At 36.2% G+C, this 23257-nt stretch overlaps 1 long non-coding RNA gene across 1 annotated transcript in view, besides 1 other annotated feature; it reads right to left on the bottom strand.

Annotated features, from left to right (window-relative positions):
- Nucleotides 1-874: 874 nt before the first annotated feature.
- The window catches only part of LINC02444 (long intergenic non-protein coding RNA 2444), a 49128-nt gene continuing 26745 nt past the window's right edge, over nt 875-23257 (bottom strand). The window contains exons 3-4 of the long non-coding RNA NR_110130.1: nt 2770-2860; nt 875-1745 (exon numbers count right to left, since the gene is read on the bottom strand). This is a non-coding gene — a long non-coding RNA (long intergenic non-protein coding RNA 2444). The remainder of the gene's footprint in view (nt 1746-2769; nt 2861-23257) is intronic.
- Nucleotides 17604-18803: an enhancer, noted in NCBI's record as "MED14-independent group 3 enhancer chr12:73584169-73585368 (GRCh37/hg19 assembly coordinates)". NCBI's record gives its function as "activates an origin of replication core promoter dependent on BRD2, BRD4, P300/CBP and CDK7 cofactors, and independent of MED14, by STARR-seq in HCT116 cells {active_cell/tissue: HCT116}" and the evidence as "EXISTENCE:reporter gene assay evidence [ECO:0000049][PMID:35650434]".

The following is a 23257-nucleotide window of genomic DNA, read 5'->3' as shown; positions in this document are numbered from 1 at the left end:
TGAGAATCAGGATGCCTTCTCCCACAACAATACTACAAATCTCTGGCCTTTGTTACTTATGAACTGCAAGGTCTGGAAGCCAAGAAGTTCATGGCAAGTCCCAGGTCAGGACCATAGACTGTGGACCACATCTATCAGTAAGAAGAGTCTTAGTACAGAATTACCTCCTTTGTTCAGCAGGAAAGGATGGCAAATTGGAGGAATTCACATTCAGCAGCCGAGTTTGTTCTGACACTGTGAGCCTCTACTTTTTCTAAAAAGTCGAAAAAATTTTGACACCACTTGGAGTCAAAATACCTATGCTTACATATCAACAATAGGACTCACTGCTTGTGTAACTTGGGGATCTCAATGGTAAGTACTGCTCCTAAAATGAGGAAGTTAGTTCAGTGAGATCTAATTCAGGTATTAGATTATTGGTGAGAATTTATTTTATTTTATTTTATTTTTGAAACGGAGTTTCGCTCTTGTCGCCCAGGCTGGAGTGCAATGGCAGAATCTCAGCTCACTGCAACCTCCACCTCCCTGTTCAAGTGATTCTCCTGCCTTAGCCTTCTGAGTAGCTGGGGATTATAGGCATGTGCCACCACACCTGGCTACTTTTTGTATTGTCAGTAGAGACAAGGTTTTGCCATGTTGGCCAGGATGGTCTCAAACTCCAGATTGCAACAATTTTCTCCCATTCTGTAGGTTGCCTGTTCACTATGATGGTAGTTTCTTTTGCTGTGTAGAAGCTCTTTAGTTTAATTAGATCCCATTTGTCAATTTTGGCTTTTGTTGCCATTGCTTTTGGTGTTTTAGTCATGAAGTCCTTGCTCATGCCTATGTCCTGAATGGTATTGCCTAGGTTTTCTTCTAGGGTTTTTATGGTTTTAGGTCTAATATTTAAGTCTTTAATCCATCTTGAATTAATTTTTGTATAAGGTGTAGGGAAGCATTCCAGTTTCAGCTTTCTACCTAATGGCTAGCCAGTTTTCTCAGCACCATTTATTAAATAAGGAATCCTTTCCCCATTTCTTGTTTTTGTCAGGTTTGTCAAAGATCGGATGGTTGTAGATGTGTGGTATTATTTCTGAGGGCTCTGTTCTGTTCCATTGGTCACTGCCCAAGGTAATTTATAGATTCAATGCCATCCCCATGAAGCTACCAATGACTTTCTTCACAGAATTGGAAAAAACTACTTTAAAGTTCACATGGAATCAAAAAAGAGCCCGCATTGCCAAGTCAATCCTAAGCCAAAAGAACAAAGCTGGAGGCATCACGCTACCTGACTTCAAACTATACTACAAGGCTACAGTAACCAAAACAGCATGGTACTGGTATCAAAACAGTGGTCAGCTTTTGAGCAACATTTGATACCATGCTTAAATATTTTAAACAATAAAGAATCATTAACCAGCATAAAGCATTGAGAATCATGTGTTTCAGATGCTTGTTTCAGAATGTTTCCTGATGGTAAGGTGATGAGAGATGAGAGTTGAGAGCTTGGGTATCAGAAGACTGGTTATGAGAGTGCTGCAATCATCAGGCCGCCAATGAAGCAGAGAACACACTTCAGCATTGAGTGGATCCGGCATATTCAGAGCAGACAGTTTTCTTTGTGGTGTGAGTTCTCTAGAACTCACAGATAGGTTCCCAGAGAAGGACAAAATCATTAAGGAAACTTCTATTCCATGAGATTGGTGCTCTGTAGAATGGATAGTAATTTTGTGTGGGTTTTCTAGGCACTCTATGCATCGTAAGAGCTTAAGGGAAGGGAAAGAAAGAGCAATTATTCAACTGTGATTTACAAATGGTTTCATAGAACAAATCTAGCACTGGTGGAGCATGCATCTAAATGTAGTGCCACCTAGGGGAAGGGAGAGATCCAGATAAAGTCGACTATCCTAAATATCTCAGGGGGCAAAACAAACTGACCCAGTGTGAACACTGTCTATGCTTATGAGTTGGAGGTTATTAAAAATCATACCCACCCACCACTATTCCTGCCATGGACATATCCAGAAACTGAGATTTAATAATTTCCTTATATAAAAGCCTACTGTTAAAGTGTTAATATGTTACTTGAGTGATGTCTGGTATTAATCCATTACCGCCTATTTGTAAGTAGCAAAATAGATACCATCAAGAAAGGAAAACACCTACAAGAAAAAGGGAAACAGGCCAAACCAGTTGGGATGGGGCTATCCTGAAAAACACTACCAAGAAAACTGAGCTGAACCTAGCTAGGACTCCAGAAAAGAAGAACTTTCTCAGTCATGTCATGTATGGTATCACCATCCTATAGGTACTTGGCATTCCTGTGGTGTGTGCTGTTCCCTCCAAAGATAAGCCTATGTTTCCATATACTGGAAATTAACTCTAGAAATGAAACTGTTCTTCTCATTTTTTCTTTTTATTTTTCTTGGTGATTAATTATTGTTCTTTCATGGTTTTTCTCTTAAAATCATCCAGTTGATCTATAAAAATGTATTCAACTTATTGTGTGGAAACACCCTGAGAAGAACAAAGAGAAGTTTAAATAATGAGGACCAGGATATCTGCAAGTAAGCCAATAGTCATTCTTTCCTTCCTTACTAAGAAAACCCAGTTTTATTCAGGGTGAAAATGGACCGACTAAGAATTTATCATTTTCTAGCTCTCCCTGGAAGCTAGAAACGTTTATGTAACATAGTTTTGTCCAATCATATATAATAGAGAGAAAATATTTGATTTTTTGAGAAAAAAGTCTCTAAAGAGAACTAATCTGGCCAGGACATACACTTTTACCTCCTGCTGCTCTTGTGCTTCTTGCCCAGAATATAACTGTGATGCTGGAAGTAGGACAGCCATTTTGTAGTTGCAAGGTGATATGTCTGAACTAAAAAAAAGCAAGCTAAAAATATAAAAATCAGGGTATCTGATGGCATTGTGGTTCACCTTACTAGTCTCATTAAGTGAGACAAATAAAACTCCATAGCAGAAAGAATTAATTAATTTAGGAGACTCATGTCAATGTCTAGGTAAGAAGTAATGAGAACAAGACATCTAAGCTTATAGATAGACACTCATGTCTTCAAGAATTACAAGTCTTATTGAAGTCATCAGAGATAAGTAGATAATTCTACTTTTATAAGAGAAATTCTGCAATATTTATGAAACCATTGACTTGGCTTGAGTAAATGTTTTTCAAAGGAGGTAACACTTACAGTTACTTGGAGAATGAGAAGTTTTCCAACCAGTCTCAGGGATATATGAAACGAATAGCTGGGGGAGGAAATTCAGACAGAGAGACAAATCTGTGTAAGAGCACAAAGTCTTACATAAAAGATGGAGGGAGGTGGTTACAACTATTTCGAGGCAACTGGAGTCTTATTTGCACATCAAAGTGGTGGTAAGATGAGCCAAGTCAGAGGGCAGCAGCCAGATGTTGAAGGACAGTATAGGCCATGCTTAGAAGTTTGGGCTTCATCCCATAACCAGGATTTGCAAACTGGCAGGCAGCAGAGAATCCCTTCTTGGTTTGGCAAGTAGAAAATTTTATAAGTTTTAAATTAGAATTTTCTAGGTGAGGAGGGATCGGTATCCTTGAAAAGTACACATATATAGAAATAAGTGGAAGATAGATACTTTACATGAGAAAAGGCTTGATTTCAGACAAGCAAAATATATATATATGCCAGGAGAAGTGAGGAGTTAAACATCTAATAAACTCCAGTAAATATGGGAGGATGTGAGAAATGGTCCTGTTCAAGTGTGCAGAAAGGACAGCAGAGTAGCCAGGGAAAATACTTTTTTTCAATTAGTATTTAATAAATTGAATCTTACAGATAAAATTTTCAGGATTAAAAAATACAGCTGTCTAATCCCTTAAAGTCACTAATATATTGGCATCCCAGTCAAAACAATAAATAATTGATAAGTAATTTAATCAACAATAAATATTTAGGAAGTATTTGCCAAATACAGATATAACTCTCTAAACTTTTGGGAAGTCTAATATTGTATTTCTGCTTAATAGACATAACTTCTAAAAACTAAGATGTGGAAACACTATAGATATTCATTATTATAGTAAGAAATAAGGTAGATAGTAAAAAGGAAAATTAACTATTAAAGAATAACAGATTTAAAATGGTCAATTTACAAGGTAATATTAATTAATAAATTATCAAGTTATGCTAAAATATGTTATTTAGCCCAAGTAGTTTTAGCATCTTCAATAATGAATACACCATATAAAATGCACAAATAGAAATAGAAAGCCAGAATATATCCTGTGAGCATTTTTACCAGTGCGTTAATGACCTGCTTGAGTTAGTACCTTGGGCTTTGCCTCAAGCCTTAAAATACAGTCAGTTATTACCTGCTCAAATCTATGCCAGCATGTTTTAACTAGACTAAATATACTCTAAAGAGAGGTAAATATTATACTATTTCATTTTCATTCTCAGCTTCTAAAATCACAGCTATTATTCATAATTCAATTGTAGTTTTCAGTATGCTATAATGTACCTGTAAGTGAAAATCATGTACTTGTGAGAGTTTTTTGACTCATAAAATTAGAAATAACAGAAAGTGAAGAGGATTTAAAATATGTTCTTATACATACTTAAAAAATGTAGTATCATTTTTTTCTTTTTTACCAAATATAGTTTAGTTATGCCTTCCTTAGATCATAGCTTTTGAGATGATGTTAAAATACAGTTTGCCAAATAAACTAAACATAACCGAGATTTTAAAACCATTGTCAAAGTATAATAGAAACATATGGCATTCAGGGCAAGTTTCATTCAAGTAATTATTGTTAATTTGCTCATTATTTGAACTAACTCCTCCTCCTTCCTCTTGTTCCACAGCCAAAAAGCAATTTGTGCTTCATTAATTGTTCACAGAAATAAAGTATGTGGGGAGGGGGACAATATTTGAAGATTTAAATGGTCACTGCTACTGCTGCATTTCTTGTTCATTCAAAGTAAAACTAGATAATATTTGTGTAAGCAGCACCTTGTTGGTTGGATAACTGAGAAATTACCATAATTTAAGTTTTGGTTTGCTTGAAGTTTCAATAAGCTTAGGGTCATTCTGAAGCATTACCTTGTCATGAATTTTAAAGATAAAATTCATATTGATGATGATGATAATAACATCCACATGTATTAGTTTTAATTAAGCAAATAGAATGTGCAAGTACTATATTAAATACTTATTCACAGATTACCTCCTTCACCTTCAAAACAATCCTATACAAAGTAAATGCTATTATCTTGGTTTTGTAGATACTGATAGCCTGTATTTGTTGAGTTCTAATTATGTGTTCAATTATCAACATCACAATGAGATAGTTACCATTTTCTAGAAAAGAAAATCCAAACTTAGAGTAAGAAAGTGATTTACCTACATTTCCATATGTAGTGATATTGGAGCCATGACTCTGACTCATTTGTAATTTAAAACCTCATGTTCTTAACCACAGTGCTGTGGTTATCATATATATTAATCAGTGTAAGTAAATGTAAATGCTTTAACAGAGAAACTTTGAATTTCATCAGATTGACAAAATAAAGTTTACATTGTTTACTCATGTTATGATCCAAGATTCAATGCAGTTGAAATGTTGAAATGTTGTCTATCAGTAATGGAATCTGAGGAACAGACTTAATCGGAGTGCCCAAAGACAAAAATGTAATAGATTTGATATAAATAAAACATTTTATCTGCCACACCTTGTAAGTAAATCTTGACTTTTCTATGTGAAATTAGAGAACTGTTGGATGATTTTAAGCACAGAATATAAATAAATTTATATTTTAGAATTATGACTATGGTAATATTACAGAGACTAGACTGTACAGGGTTGAATGAGATAAGAAAATATGAAGCTATTTAGGGAAACCAATTTAGACGAAAAATGATGGGAGCAGGAATAATACAGTGGTTACGGGAATTAAGAGAAGAGGTAGGAAAAGCCTCCAAGAGCAATTTGGAGGATAGATTCAAAAAGACTTATTCAATATTGGGTGTAACCAATTAAGCAGAATGGTCAACAATACTCCTGAGGTCTTAAGTAGGGAGAACATCATGGATGGTGGTAGGTATTATAATGTAGAAGTGATTTATCTACATGTATGGAACAGTGTCAAGTAGGAGTCCTTTGTCTACTTGGGACACATACTGATTGTGCTGCATATGAGTTTGTTTGCATTTTTATAAGAACTTTCTAACAGCAAAATCAAGAAAAATCAGAAGAGAAAAATCAAGTAAATTAATCTGGTTTCATTCATTCAATCATTTATTCAACAAATAAATTTGGACTGTGCACTATTTGTCAAGCACTGTGCTAGAAATTGTGAGAAGTAAAATAAAAGACACAATCTCTAGGTTGAGGATATTTAGGTTTAGCAGAAGACAGTTGTTGATATGGTTTGGCTGAGTCCCCACCCAAATCTCACTTTGAATTGTAATAATCCCTACATGTCAAGGGTGGGGCCAGGTGGAGATAATTGACTCAGTTTCCCCCATACTCTTTTCATGGTAGTGAATAAGTCTCACAAGATCTGATGATTTTATAAATAGGAGTTCCGCTACATAAGCTCTCTCTTGTCTGCTGCAATGTAAGACATGACTTTGCTTCTTTTTTTCCCTTCCACCATGATTGTGAGGCCTCCCCAGCCATGTGGAACTGTGAGTCAATTAAACCTATTTCCTTTATAATTTACCCAATCTTGGGTATTTCTTTATTAGCAGCTTGAGAACAGACAAATACAGTTGTGATTTATCTTAATAAGTGTCAAATCAAAGCAAATTTGAGATTTTACAACAACTTATAAAATAGAAACCCAAAAGGGTAGCAAGAGAGTGTCAAAACTGCATGTTCTCACTTATAAGTGGGCGCTAAACCTTGGGTACTCATGAACATAAAGATGGCAATAATAGACACTAGGGACTACTAGAGTGGGGTTGGGGATAAGGGTTGAAAAAAACTAACTGTTGTTGGATAGTATGCCTATTACCTGGGTAACCGGATCATTAGTATCTGAAGCCTCAGTAATGCACAATATATTCATGTAACAAACCTACACATGTACCCTCTGAATCTAAAATAAAAGTTGAAATTATTTTTTAAAGCCTTCATAAATGTTGAAAAAGACATAAAATTTAGCTAAGCAAAACAAAAAGAGAAGATATGTTTAGGCTTACAGAAGTACATGCACATAGGTTCAGGAAAAAAATAGAAATGTCTTGATTGAGGATTACAAGAAAGTAAGTATGACCTGAGTAAGGAACTGGAGAAGGATTGGCAAGAAATAGGGCTTATGAGGTAAGAGTTGCTAGAATATGAAAGATTCTTACAGTGTGTCATAAGCCTCTTAAAGACTTATTAGAAGTAGAAAGTTAAAGTCACAGAAGAATTCTTGGCAGAGAAATGACATAGTCACATTTGTGATTTATAAAGGTAATTCTTACAATGGTGTGAAAAATAGATTGGATAAAAACAGGACCAGAGGCATGGGATCCTCTCAAGGCACTTTTAGAGAAGTCTAGCAGAGAAGCCATAGTGGTCTGAAGCAAAGTAGTTGCAGTGAGAATGGAAAGGAAGGGAGGAATTCAAGAAGTGTTAAGAGGCAAAATGGATAGAGTCTTATCTCCAATGAAATTAAAGGCTAAACAAGAGGGAGAAATTGAGGCTAATTTCCAGGGTTATGTTTTAACTAGGTATTTAATGGTGGCAAGAGAGGTATTTAATGGCAAGACAGGAAAAAAATGAAAAGATAGGGAGATCTGAGGAGCAAAGAAGAAAGTAAACCTAGTATTTATTATGTGTGTCATATCTCTGAAGCATTCAAGTAGAGATGTCCAGTAGAAAGTTGTTGGATATAATTCTCCAAGTGTAATAAAATATGACTCTAAGTTTCATGCATTGTCTATACCTATCCCTACATGGGTCAGTGCTTTAATGATGCCAAGTTGAGCCTCAGTCTTTTTTTTTTTTTTCCATTTGACTTAGTTGGAATGCTCTTACAAGTGACAAGTGAGAAAAGGAGGAGAAAAAAGGTTAAATGCAAACACATCACCCACCATTACTACTTACTGTCAGTAGTATCATCATTGTTTAAAAGAGAATTATTAATTGGAGGAAGCCAACACTTACCTTTTTTATATCTTATGCCTGCTTTGAAAGAAAGGTAACTTGAGAAGAAAAATTTAAGCCAAAAATGTGATGACACTTAAGAAAATCCCATGAGGTGCTAATTAATAGTTTACACTGATGACCATATATTTACAATGAGAAACTATCATAATTTGAGTTCAAATGTTGTACCTTTTCCGAAAGGAAAAGTCAAATAATGAATATAAAAAGTCAATGAATATCAAGTCACAAGGACTGTTATGTAAGACATATTACAAAACCACAATGTAGTTATACAAAATTATGATCTTCATAAAATAAGCTGAATATGAATTCAACCAAAGAAACTACATAATTGCAAAGCAGGGTCTGAAGCAACTAGATTAAATAATGGGGCTTCTTAAGTAATAAAATCTTTTTAGAAAACGAAGCTTTCTGAAAACTTTTCCAGAATGTTTTAGAACAGGCTACATGATTTATACCCATTTATTTAAAAATCCAAATTAAGCAAGGTTGACAAAGGACCTTACAAATGAAACTCTCTAGAGAATAATCTAGAAGTTTGTTGGTAGGCTTCAGACATATGGATTGGTAGGGTTTCCCCTCATGTGAAGCAGTTTAAATAGTTCTTATTATTTTATGTTACTAATTCAAAGCCTAATAGCCATGGCTGGCCATAGCGGGTATGTGTTCCAGGATCTCACAACCTATGATAACCTCTCAGCTTTCTCCCAAGACCCTCCTTGCAAGAACATTGGGAAACTTATCTGACCACCACAAAGCTCTAAAAAATCACTAGAGATAAAATTTTCTTAATAAAAGTCCAGAAATTTTTGGTAACATGCTTTAGAACATTGCTTTCTTTGCCTCTTGGTATGTATAGACATGGTATCAATAGCTTCAATGTGTTTCTTTGCTCTTTTATATAAATTGCTTGTCTGAGAAGACTTTTCTTTAGAAATTATGACTTTTTCAGTTCATAGTTTGAAATCATATAATCTCTAAGTGAGCTCTTACATTCGTGATTTAATCAGAAAATGTCTCTACTGAACAAAGTTTCTTTATTAATATGCAAATGAATGCCATAAGGCAGATGATACTTTTTCCCAAACCACATTCAATTAACTTACAAATAACTTTAGGTGCTCCTAGTGTAATCAGAATTAGTGTTTTACATGACAGATTTTTTAACACTTCTTAGATTCTAAGATAAAGAATTAGATGCTATTATTTATTACCATGATGCAAACGCAAAACATAGGCTGAAAAGAATAGAAGAAAAAAGAAAATAGCTGAGGAGCCAAGATGGCTGAATAGGAATAGCTCCTGTCTACAGCTCCCAGCGTGAGCGACACAGAAGACGGGTGATTTCTGCATTTCCATCTGAGGTACCGGGTTCATCTCACTAGGGAGTGCCAGACAGTGGCCGCAGGTCAGTGGGTGCAGCGCACCGTGCGCGAGCCGAAGCAGGGAGAGGCATTGCCTCACTCGGGAAGCGCAAGGGGTCAGGGAGTTGCCTTTCCTAGTCAAAGAAAGGGGTGACAGATGGCACCTGGAAAATCGGGTCACTCCCACCCAAATACTGCGCTTTTCCGACGGGCTTAAAAAACGGCGCACCAGGAGATTATATCCTGCACCTGACTCGGAAGGTCCTACGCTCACGGAGTCTCGCTGATTGCTAGCACAGCAGTCTGAGATCAAACTGCAAGGCGGCAGAGAGGCTGGGGGAGGGGTGCCCGTGATTGCCCAGGCTTCCTTAGGTAAACAAAGCAGCCCGGAAGCTCCAACTAGGTGGAGCCCACCACAGCTCAAGGAGGCCTGCCTGTCTCTGTAGGCTCCAACTCTGGGGGCAGGACACAGACAAACAAAAAGACAGCAGTAACCTCTGCAGACTTAAATGTCCCTGTCTGACAGTTTTGAAGAGAGCAGTGGTTCTCCCAGCATGCAGCTGGAGATCTGAGAACGGGCAGACTGCCTCCTCAAGTGGGTCCCTGACCCCTGACCCCTGAGCAGCCTAACTGGGAGGCACCCCCAAGTAGGGGCACACTGACACCTCACACAGCCGGGTACTCCTCTGAGACAAAACTTCCAGAGGAATGATCAGACAGCAGCATTCGCAGTTCACAAAAAACCACTGTTCTGCAGACACTGCTGCTGATACCCAGGCGAACAGGGTCTGGAGTGGACCTCTAGCAAACTCCAACAGACCTGCAGCTGAGAGTCCTGTCTGTTAGAAGGAAAACTAACAAGCAGAAAGGACATTTACACCAAAAACCCATCTGTACATCACCATCATCAAAGACTAAAAGTAGATAAAACCACAAAGATGGGGGAAAAACAGAGCAGAAAAACTGGAAACTCTAAAAAGCAGAGCACCTCTCCTCCTCCAAAGGATCGCAGTTCCTCACCAGCAATGGAACAAAGCTGGATGGAGAATGACTTTGACGAGTTGAGAGAAGAAGGCTTCAGACGATCAAACTACGAGCTACAGGAGGAAATTCAAACCAAAGGCAAAGAAGTTAAAAACTTTGAAAAAAAATTTAGACGAATGTATAACTAGAATAACCAATACAGAGAAGTGCTTAAAGGAGCTGATGGAGCTGAAAGCCAAGGCTCGAGAACTATGTGAAGAATGCACAAGCCTCAGGAGCCGATACGATCAACTGGAAGAAAGAGTACCAGCGATGGAAGATGAAATGAATGAAATGAAGCAAGAAGGGAAGTTTAGAGAAAAAAGAATAAAAAGAAATGAACAAAGCCTCCAAGAAATATGGGACTATGTGAAAAGACCAAATCTACATCTGATTGGTGTACCTGAAAGTGACGGGGAGAATGGAACCAAGTTGGAAAACACTCTGCAGGATATTATCCAGGAGAACTTCCCCAATCTAGCAAGGCAGGCCAACATTCAGATTCAGGAAATACAGAGAATGCCACAAAGATACTCCTCCAGAAGAGCAACTCCAAGACACATAATTGTCAGATTCACCAAAGTTGAAATGAAGGAAAACATGTTAAGGGCAGCCAGACAGAAAGGTCGGGTTACCCAGAAGGGGAAGCCCATCAGACTAACAGCTGATCTCTCGGCAGAAACTCTACAAGCCAGAAGAGAGGGGGGGCCAATATTCAACAATTTAAAAAAAAAGAATTTTCAACCCAGAATTTCATATCCAGGCAAACTAAGCTTCATAAGTGAAGGAGAAATAAAATACTTTACAGACAAGCAAATGCTGAGACATTTTGTCACCACCAGGCCTGCCCTAAAAGAGCTCCTGAAGGAAGCACTAAACATGGAAAGGAACAACCGGTACCAGAGGCTGCAAAATCATGCCAAAATGTAAAGAACATCAAGACTAGGAAGAAACTGCATCAACTAACACACAAAATAACCAGCTAACATCATAATGACAGGTTCAAATTCACACATGACAATATTAACTTTAAATGTAAATGGACTAAATGCTCCAATTAAAAGACACAGACTGGCAAATTGGATAAAGAGTCAAGACCCATCAGTGTGTTGTATTCAGGAAACCCATCTCACATGCAGAGACACACATAGGCTTAAAATAAAAGGAAGGAGGAAGATCTACCAAGCAAATGGAAAACAAAAAAAGGCAGGGGTTGCAATCCTAGTCTCTGATAAAACAGACTTTAAACGAACAAAGATCAAAAGAGACAAAGAAGGCCATTACATAATGGTAAAGGGATCAATTCAACAAGAAGAGCTAACTATACTAAATATATATGCACCCAATACAGGAGCACCAAGATTCATAAAGCAAGTCCTGAGTGACCTACAAAGAGACTTAGACTCCCACACATTAATAATGGGAGACTTTAACACCACACTGTCAACATTAGACAGATCAATGAGACAGAAAGTCAACAAGGATACCCAGGAATTGAACTCAGCTCTGCACCAAGCGGACCTAATAGACATCTACAGAACTCTCCACCCCAAATCAACAGAATATACATTTTTTTCAGCACCACACCACACCTATTCCAAAATTGACCACATACTTGGAAGTAAAGCTCTCCTCAGCAAATGTAAAAGAACAGAAATTATAACAAACTATCTCTCAGACCACAGTGCAATCCAACTAGAACTCAGGATTAAGAAACTCACTCAAAACTGCTCAACTACATGGAAACTGAACAACCTCCTCCTGAATGACTACTGGGTACATAACGCAATGAAGGCAGAAATAAAGATGTTCTTTGAAACCAATGAGAACAAAGACACAACATATCAAAATCTCTGGGATGCATTCAAAGCAGTGTGTAGAGGGAAATTTATAGCACTAAATGCCCACAAGAGAAAGCAGGAAAGATCCAAAATTGACACCCTAACATCACAATTAAAAGAACTAGAAAGGCAAGGGCAAACACATTCAAAAGCTAGCAGAAGGCAAGAAATAACTAAAATCAGAGCAGAACTGAAGGAAATAGAGACACAAAAAAACCCTTCAAAAAATTAATGAATCCAAGAGCTGGTTTTTTGAAAGGATCAACAAAATTGATACACCACTAGCAAGACTAATAAAGAAAAAAAGAGAGAAGAATCAAATAGACGCAATAAAAAATGATAAAGGGGATATGACCACCGATCCCACAGAAATACAAACTACCATCAGAGAATACTACAAACACCTCTACGCAAATAAACTAGAAAATCTAGAAGAAATGGATAAATTCCTCGACACATACGCTCTCCCAAGACTAAACCAGGAAGAAGTTGAATCTCTGAATAGACCAATAACAGGAGCTGAAATTGTGGCAATAATCAATAGCTTACCAACCAAAAAGAGTCCAGGACCAGATGGATTCAGAGCCGAGTTCTACCAGAGGTACAAGGAGGAACTGGTACCATTCCTTCTGAAACTATTCCAATCAATAGAAAAAGAGGGAATCCTCCCCAACTCATTTTATGAGGCCAGCATCATTCTGATACCAAAGCCGGGCAGAGACACAACCCAAAAAGAGAATTTTAGACCAATATCCTTGATGAACATTGATGCAAAAATCCTCAATAAAATACTGGCAAACTGAATCCAGCAGCACATCAAAAATCTTATCCACCATGATCAAGTGGGCTTCATCCCTGGGATGCAAGGCTGGTTCAATATATGCAAATCAATAAATGTAATCCAGCATATAAACAGAACCAAAGACAAAAACCACATGATTATCTCAATAGATGCAGAAAAGGCCTTTGACAAAATTCAACAACCCTGAATGCTAAAAACTCTCAATAAATTAGGTATTGATGGGACGTTAGCTCAAAATAATAAGAGCTGTCTATGACAAACCCACAGCCAATATCATACTCAATGGGCAAAAACTGGAAGCATTCCCTTTGAAAACTGGCACAAGACAGGGATGCTCTCTCTCACCACTCCTATTCAACATAGTGTTGGAAGTTCTGGCCAGGGCAATTAGGCAGGAGAAGGAAATAAAGGGTATTCAATTCGGAAAAGAGGAAGTCAAATTGTCCCTGTTTGCAGACGACATGATTGTATATCTAGAAAATCCCATTGTCTCAGCCCAAAATCTCCTTAAGCTGATAAGCAACTTCAGCAAACTCACAGGATACAAAATCAATGTACAAAAATCACAAGCATTCTCATACACCAACAACAGACAAACAGAGAGCCAAATCATGAGTGAACTCCCATTCACAATTGCTTCAAAGAGAATAAAATACCTAGGAATCCACCTTACAAGGGATGTGAAGGACCTCTTCAAGGAGAACTACAAACCACTGCTCAATGAAATAAAAGAGGATACAAAGAAATGGAAGAACATTCCATGCTCATGGGTAGGAAGAATCAATATCGTGAAAATGGCCATACTGCCCAAGGTAATTTATAGATTCAATGCCATCCCCATCAAGCTACCAATGACTTTCTTCACAGAATTGGAAAAAACTACTTTAAAGTTCATATGGAACCAAAAAAGAGCCCGCATCACCAAGTCAATCCTAAGCCAAAAGAACAAAGCTGGAGGCATCATGCTACCTGACTTCAAACTATACTACAAGGCTACAGTAACCAAAACAGCATGGTACTGGTACCAAAACAGAGATATAGATCAATGGAACAGAACAGAGCCCTCAGAAATAATGCCGCATATCTACAACTATCTGATCTTTGACAAACCTGACAAAAACAAGCAATGGGGAAAGGATTCCCTATTTAATAAATGGTGCTGGGAAAACTGGCTAGCCATATGTAGAAAGCTGAAACTGGATCCCTTCCTTACACCTTATACAAAAATCAATTCAAGATGGATTAAAGACTTAAACGTTAGACCTAAAACCATAAAAACCCTAGAAGAAAACCTAGGCATTACCATTCAGGACATAGGCATGGGCAAGGACTTCATGACTAAAACACCAAAAGCAATGGCAACAAAAGCCAAAATTGACAAATGGGATCTAATTAAACTAAAGAGCTTCTGCACAGCAAAAGAAACTACCATCAGAGTAAACAGGCAACCCGCAAAATGGGAGAAAATTTTCGCAACCTACTCATCTGACAAAGGGCTAATATCCAGAATCTACAATGAACTCAAACAAATTTACAAGAAAAAAACAAACAACCCCATCAAAAAGTGGACGAAGGACATGAACAGACACTTCTCAAAAGAAGACATTTATGCAGCCAAAAAACACAGGAAAAAATGCTCATCATCCCTGGCCATCAGAGAAATGCAAATCAAAACCACAATGAGATACCATCTCACACCAGTTAGAATGGCAATCATTAAAAAGTCAGGAAACAACAGGTGCTGGAGAGGATGTGGAGAAATAGGAACACTTTTACACTGTTGGTGGGACTGTAAACTAGTTCAACCATTGTGGAAGTCAGTGTGGCGATTCCTCAGGGATCTAGAACTAGAAATACCATTTGTCGCAGCCATCCCATTACTGGGTATATACCCAAAGGACTATAAATCATGCTGTCATGCTGCTATAAAGACACATGCACACGTATGTTTATTGCGGCTCTATTCACAATAGCAAAAACTTGGAACCAACCCAAATGTCCAACAATGATAGACTGGATTAAGAAAATGTGGCACACATACACCATGGAATACTATGCAGCCATAAAAAGGATGAGTTCATGTCCTTTGTAGGGACATGGATGAAATTGGAAATCATCATTCTCAGTAAACTATTGCAAGAACAAAAAACCAAACACTGCATATTCTCACTCATAGGTGGGAATTGAACAATGAGAACACATGGACACTGGAAAGGGAACATCACACTCTGGGGACTGTTGTGGGGTGGGGGGAGGGGTGAGGGATAGCATTGGGAGTTACACCTAATGCTAGATGACAAGTTAGTGGGTGCACCGCACCAGCAAGTCACATATATACACATGTAACTAACCTGCACATTGTGCACATGTACCCTAAAACTTAAAGTATAATAATAAAAAAAAAGAAAATAGCCAAAGATGACATAAATAGAACTATGTTATAAATGCTCTTATTCAGGCTCCTGAATTGATTACTAAACTAAGGAACCACATAATTACCCTAGATAGGGTATTTAGTATTAAATTTAATAGTGACCATCTGTTACGTTATAATTATGCAATCAAGTTCTCTTTTACCCTACAAGTGAAGATGAAACAATAAAAAAAAAAATTAAAGAAAGCGCAACAGATGAGAGGGTAAACTGCTCAAACTTCTATGTATCACCTAAAGCAAACTCACATAGTTGAGGCATTTTAAGAGAATAAGTTTCAAAATTAAGAATTAACCTGAAAACATTGTCTACCTTCTTCTATGATAAGTGGGAAATGAGTTATTCAGTCTCAGCAGATTACCAATTGATGTTTCTGCTTTAAGTATTATTTACTTGCCATCAGGCAGGTCAGAATCAATATGGAACGAAAACACTGAAGTCTTTTGTTTTACCTTCTGTGTGTTGGAAAATATTTTTATAAAAATCAATTTCTTCAGCAACCACTTATTTTTCACCGATTATATTGTGGCCACTATTATACACTCTAGGACCATAGTGTGAAAAATGTTCTTTTAGTAATCAAATGTAGCTTTTTACATATTGGATATTATGTTAAGAAATATTATTTATAATGTATAATGCACAATGCTATTATAATGGATGTAAAAATGAACTGTGTTTTTTAAACTACCATCTCTGAATCACTTTATAGGTTTCATCACAAATTTTTTGACTATTCGAATATATCGGTTTCTAGTAGAATGGTAAAGACTTGTATAAGTCAGCATGTTTGTCAGGGTATTTACTATCTTCTGAGTAGTACTGACTTCGATGATGGTTTCTCCTGGGAAAAAGGCTCGCACCCATTTTCCAGTTCTAGTATTCGATATGACTAAGTTATGCAAAAACCTAAGAAGTACTCTATGGAATGTTTCCGAAACTTAGAGTCATCACTGATGCCATTAGTATTAAATGAATCAGGGTAGCTTCACTGTAATCAAAACAAAGATTTTACATTCATTTAAATTTAAGCATTTTTTTTTTTACTTTGAACATTAGTTTCGAGCATTCTATTCCTGACATAATACAAAGTAAAATCATTTAAAAGAGGAAGTTGATTTCTTAATTAAATTTAGCACCCCTCATCCTCAGTACACTAAGAATTTAAAATTTAATATTTAAAAAATATTACACTTCAGCCTAATGCTTTACATATAACTATTGTATTATATTAGGGGATTATTTTTGCCATTCATATGGCTGATATCCAATATGCTGTTCTCCAACCACAGATCAACAATATAACTTTCAACAGCTCCTGTTGGCATGATACTATTTGCTGTAATTGCTCTTGGAGAAGTAGCACATTCCCTTAAGACAATATTGTGCCCTTTTTACATGCACATGTTATTTTTAGCTCTAGCAAGAGTTTGAAGGGTGTTTATTTTTATATAAAGAAGAAATAATAGGGGAAAGAAGGACAAAATACCAGAGATATATTTATGGTTCTATAGTAACATATGGGTGATTTACCCAATAAAATGAAATGAAATATAAAAGCAAAAGCAAACCAACATACCCTCGCTGGAATACTCCTTCTCTTAACAGCTATCACCTGTATCTCAATTTTAAGACTAATCACATTTTTAAAAATATTATTTTATGTAAGCAAAGCAGGAAATTGAATGGAAGCTTTTGTTTTTCATTTTATTTCACTTCAAAGCAGCATTTGACTCTTGCTTATTTATTTCTTTTTTAAAGCACACTCTTCACTCGGCTGCATGACACAACAATTTTCTGGCTTTCCCTCTACCATTCTACCAACTTCTGACTCTTTTGATGACTGTTCTTCCTCTACCTGGGCTTTTAATAAAAACTTAGCTCTTCAGTATTTCCCAATATTCTTTTTTGGTACGTAAGGAGAAATAACAGAGGAGAACTTTTATTATCAACAGCTTCCTCTAGGATTGAAACCTTAAAATCTAATTCTCTAATTAATATTTCTTTTGGGATATCTCAAATTTACCTGGAATTGAATATTTCCAAAGCAGAATGTTTTGTCGTAATTCAATTATTTAAACTGGTTCACTTTCTGCTGCTTTGTTCCTAAGGAACGGCATCAAGTTTTCAATTTATCAAGAAAGAAACTTTATATATATCTTTATAATTTCCTCTTAGTCTACCCTTAAAATCACGGCATCACCAAGTTTTTTTGATTTTCTGTCCTAAATTCATCTACTTTTTTTTCACGACCTTCACTCAACCAAGTCCAAAAAACTATCATTTCTTTGGGACACTACAGAGGTCTTGATAGAAAAACAGACCAATTGATCAATAGATAGATATATCCAATCCATTCTCCATATTGAACCAATAATTTTACAAGGTAATGTAGTTATTTTATTTTTTCTCTCTCTCTCTAGTGCATCTCTCCCTCCATCTCTCTCTCTCTGTGTCTCTCTCATTCACACACACAAACAAACATACAAACACATACTTAACAATTTCTTTATTGTGGTAGGTTAGATTAAAACTCAGAAGTCTTCATTATTTCTCCTTCCCCAATAGAGTAGTGAAGTACATTTCCACACCCCTTGACTTTAGTAGTAGAGTGGATTTCCCCAGCCATGAGATTTGCCTGGCCGTTAGTTGAAGCTGGAAATCAAAGTGATCCATTTCCAAGCCCAGACCGTCAGACGCCTCAGGATTTTTCACCTGCCTTGCAAGTAAGTGCTTTTCCACCCCTTTGGAGAGAACTTGTCCAGGCTAGCCCATGGCTAAAAGGAGAATAAGAGCCATAAGGAACAAAGATGAACTGCCTCTCTCAATCTACTGCTAAGATTTTTGTGCTTGACTGTTATACAGAATAATTGAGAGTATTGGTAAGTGTTATTTATGGTTTCTTATTTTTCTAAATATAAAGTAAAATAACTTGCATATATTCAAAAAATCCTGTATAATTTGTCCCTCTACTTCATGTCAAGCCTTATTTGACACCAAGCTCCCTATGTCTTCCAGTGCCAAATCAGGATGGCTTTATTCTAGTTCTGTCAATTCACCAATGATTTCTCCAAGCTCAGAAACTTACACATTTTTATATCTTTTTTTCTTCTTGCTCCTTTCTAGTTAGCTCCATCTCATTCTTCAGAATCTGAACTCGAGTACTACTTTCTCAAGATTAGCTTGATGCAATTACTATTCTACATTAGTGTGTCTTTATAAAATTGGTTTCCACCATTAAATTAAGTCTTCTAATAATGGAATTATTAAATTATTGAATAAAGTAATTAATGAGTGAGGTGATCCAAGCTAGATGTGAGTCATTTTCAAAGGTCCTAGTAATTGCACACCATTGACACTTGCCCAACAGCCGCTATGAAGTATTTTTTTGCAAATAGTTGTATGTGTATTAACATAAGTTATAAGTGATGTAAAACAAATTTAATAAATGTACTCATGGTGTCTCTTTCTCTTTATAACCCCAAACTAGGAAAAATTTTAAATTTCTTCATCAGCTTCTTTTAAATAGAATAAATCAGTCAAGTTGAAAATCCATTAGCCCTCTTGCTCTGTGTTTCCTTGATGTCTTCCCATGAAATGCGTTCACTTTCTATCAAGAAAAATATTAACTTAACCTTGAGCATTATTTAATACATTTGTTTAAATAATAACATATGTGAGTTATAAATTCATAGCTTTTCTTTTCAGCTACCAGCCTTGAGAATTGGATCATTTCCTATGCCGCTAAATTGGATTTAAAATGTGTTTTCTATACCATGATAGCAATTTGAATTTGGAATTCTGTGCAAAATCGTTCTATATTTGGGATACAATAAATATTATAAGTACCTTTGGTTCAGTCTCTTGTTCATTCATTATGATGGGTGCAGAACTGTCTCCCAGATGCGATTGTAAGCACATTTTAAAGGTAAGAAATTCATTTTATTCACATGTATATCCTTCCTTTACTTCTAAAATACAGCTTAGTTTTAAACATGCAATGGTTAATCTATATTTATTGAAATGTTAAAACTTATTAGAAAGAAAGTATTACCTCTTCCACAAACATCAATTGGCACCAAGGCAAAAAGCTGGAATAATTTTCACTGTCCTCTTTATTACAAAAAATCATTCTACCACATTCGACAATTTCTCCTTATTTAAAGTCCATATCATAAGATTCTATACCCTCTCTCTCATTTTTATCAAAGTCAATCTCCAAATTTCCACACAGTCCCTACTTATCTCAAGAATATATTAATACCTTTTCCATTATTTTTCAGTTTATCCAAACTCATGTTAATATCCTGAGGAATCTCAATCGTAACATGAAAATTTCAACAGTGTTATCTTAGAGATGCTGTACTTTCTCAAAGAAAACTATCTTTATTTTCACCACAGGAAGAAACTACCAATTTAGGCTTCCAAAAATTGTTAATATCTCTCTCTGGCATTTTTACTTGTCTATATCCATTGAGTTTGCATCACTTTTTCATCTGTCCTCTGTTCCCTCTGTTTGTTCCAATCATGGCAGCCTATCACACCCTCCTAGTTTTATAGTCCTTTCTATTCTAATCACTTTGATTCACTGTTCCAAATCTTCACTGTCCAGCTTGCTGGATACCTTAACTTCTTTAATTTGTTTGTTTCCATCTTGCTGGTTTAAATCCCTGGATAACTTCAATTATCTCTTTGGTCAGTTCTTACTCCTGGGATGTTATTATTGACAAAAATAATGAAACTGCTATTCTTGCCATTCTACCATAATAGGCAAACGTATAGTTGTCTGGAGTGCTTGGCTTGATAATGGATTGCTGAAGATATGGTACACAAATAAATGCTCAAAGACAGACTGGAGAGAGATTTGACCAAAAGACGCTGCGTCCCAAATTTGACAAAAAGAGACTGCGTCTCAATCTGTAGATAATAGGTAATACCGAAAGTTACTAGGAAAAGGAAATCATATTTCTTGACCTGTCCTAGAGATTAAAATGTGTATATTATGATAATGCAAAAACAAGTTATTACAGTTTGAATGTGTATTAATGTAAAATCAATACTATAGAGAAAATGAAGATGATAAAAATAGACTTCCTCATAGGTGAAAGCTAAATTTTTAAAGGAACTGCTATGAAAATATTTCTTAACTGTGATTCCCAAACCTGACTATTTATACTAATCATGTGTGGGATTTTTTTCGAATGCTGAGGCCAAGGCTCCACCCTGTAGTTTAAGATTCTCTATGTCTGCAGTAGGGATGAGGAATCTCCATTCTTCGGAAGCACCGCTAATCACTGTGATATATGTGCAGGTCTGAGAATCACTACAGGAAGCAAAATTCAGGTCACCTTTACCCCTCAATATATGGAGTTTTACTTCCTTTTTTCCCATAATCAGTCATTTTAGAAGAAATCTATAAGCTAGCAGCAGTTTTCTATTTATTGCTGTGGAAACCATTTTTCATGGGTTGAAAACACAGTCCTCTATGGGCCACATTTCCCTCAGTCAGAGATGTTTTGCATTGTCTTGCTGTCAATCATTCTTTCAGTAGTAATCGCCTATCAATTTTACCTCTCCTGTCAAGTGATTTTTATGGCATCTATGATTTATGTGGCAGGAACTGCTTTCCAGAGCAAGGCATCAGTTTTGAACATTGTTTACAGGACTAAGATCCATCTCAATGCCATGCTAGCAATGATTATCCTGAATGCTATTGAGAAGGAATCTGAACAGCTTGAGATTCAGTGGCAATTCTCCCCACACAATCATCAGACAAACTCAGAGTGTTGGATTTCTTTGCCAAAGGGGTGAAAAAATAAATATCTCAAAGTTGAAGAAAATTTGGTTTATAATTCAAAAGCTATTAAATATTTTTCCAGCTTTGTTGAGGTACAGCTGACAAATTAATAGATTGTATATATTTAAGGTATATAATATGGTGTTTTGATATAAAATATATGTGAAAATCCTTATAAACTTATGGAATAATTTCCACAATCAAACTAATTAACATATCCATCACCTCACATAGTTACCTTTTTGTGTGTTTGTGCTGAGAACACTTAAGGTCTAATCTTTGCAAATTTCAATCATCAATATATTATTATTAAACACAGTTACCAGGCTATATTTTAAGATTTCAGGAATTTATACATCTTATAGCTAAAAGTTTATATACTTTGACAAGATCCCCATTTCTACATTCCCCTGGTCCCTAGCAGCCACCATTCTACTTTGTTTCTCCAAATTTAACATTTTTAGATTTCACAAGTAAATAGCATCATGCAAAATCTATAAAACTTCATCCTATCAATCACAAAATGGATTTAGAAGATTGCAATTCATAGAACTTCAGCAATGGTATGAAGTGATTTTTTCAATAATTAAAATCTAACCTTATTAGCAAACCTTAAGTAAAAATGAGCAAACACCTTTGGATGCAATTTCAAACCTGAACTCTTAAATAAATTAAAGATTTATTTTGACTGACTCAAAATTTTGTTTGGTCATTAATAATTTGGAAAAACCTGTTTACTTAGATCCAAAAACAAGTTTCTGAGAAGAAATTCACTTTGTGACATACAAAATTTTGACACATTTTTTTGACTAATTCCCTCTTGGGCATACTCCCATAATCTCATCTTGAGGATATGGAGTGAATCCCCAGAAAACTGCAGCAGCCTTGTGGAAGAGTGGCCTGACTATTAAAAGAAAACAAACAGAAAACAACAACAAATTCAACAAAAGAGACCCCACAAAAAACCCATTCAAAGGTAATCAACCTCAAAGATCAAAGATAGATAAGCCCACAAAGATGAGAAAGAATCAATGTAAAAATGCTGAAAACTCGAAAGTCGGAGCACCTCTTCTCCAAATGACAATACCTCTCCAGCAAAACTACAGAACTGGGCTGAGACTGAGATGGCTGAATTGACAGAAATAGGAGTCAGGTGTGTAACATAATATTAGGTGGGTAATAATGAACTTCACTGAGCTAAAAAACCACGTTATAACCCAGTGCAAAGAAGCTAAGAATCATGATAAAACAATGCAGGAGCTGATAGCCAGAATATCTAGTTTAGAGAGGAACATAGCTGACCTAATAGAGCTGAAAAACAGAACACAGAAACTCACAATGCAACCACAAGTATTAATAGCAAAAGAGATCAAGCAGAGAAAAGAAACTCCGAGCTTGGAGACTATCTTTCTGAAATAAGACAGGCAGACAAAAATAGAGAAAAAAGAATGAAAAGAAATGAACAAAACCTCTCAGAAATATGTGATTATGTAAAAAGACCTAACCTGTAACTGATTGGGGTACCTGAAAGGGAGAACAGAAACAAATTAGAAAACGTACTTCAGGATATTATCCAGGAGAACATCCCCAACCTAGTAAGACAGGCAAGCATTCAAATTTAGAAACTGCAGACAACCCCAATAAGACACTGCAGAAAAAAAAAAAATCAACTCCAAGACACATAATTGACAGATTCACCAAAGCGAAAATGAAAGAAAAAATGTTAAGGGCAGCCAGAGAAAAAGGCCAGGTCACCTACATAGGGAAGCCCATAAGACTACCAGTGGACATCTCAATGGAAACCCTGCAAGCCAGAACAGATTGGGGGGTCAATATTCAACTTTCTTAAAGAAAAGAATTTCCA

Source organism: Homo sapiens, chromosome 12 (assembly GCF_000001405.40).
Source record: "Homo sapiens chromosome 12, GRCh38.p14 Primary Assembly".
NCBI classification, from domain to species: domain Eukaryota; kingdom Metazoa; phylum Chordata; class Mammalia; order Primates; family Hominidae; genus Homo; species Homo sapiens.
The sequence above is the reverse complement of the archived record's forward strand: the minus strand, read 5'-3'. Positions and strand labels throughout refer to the sequence as shown.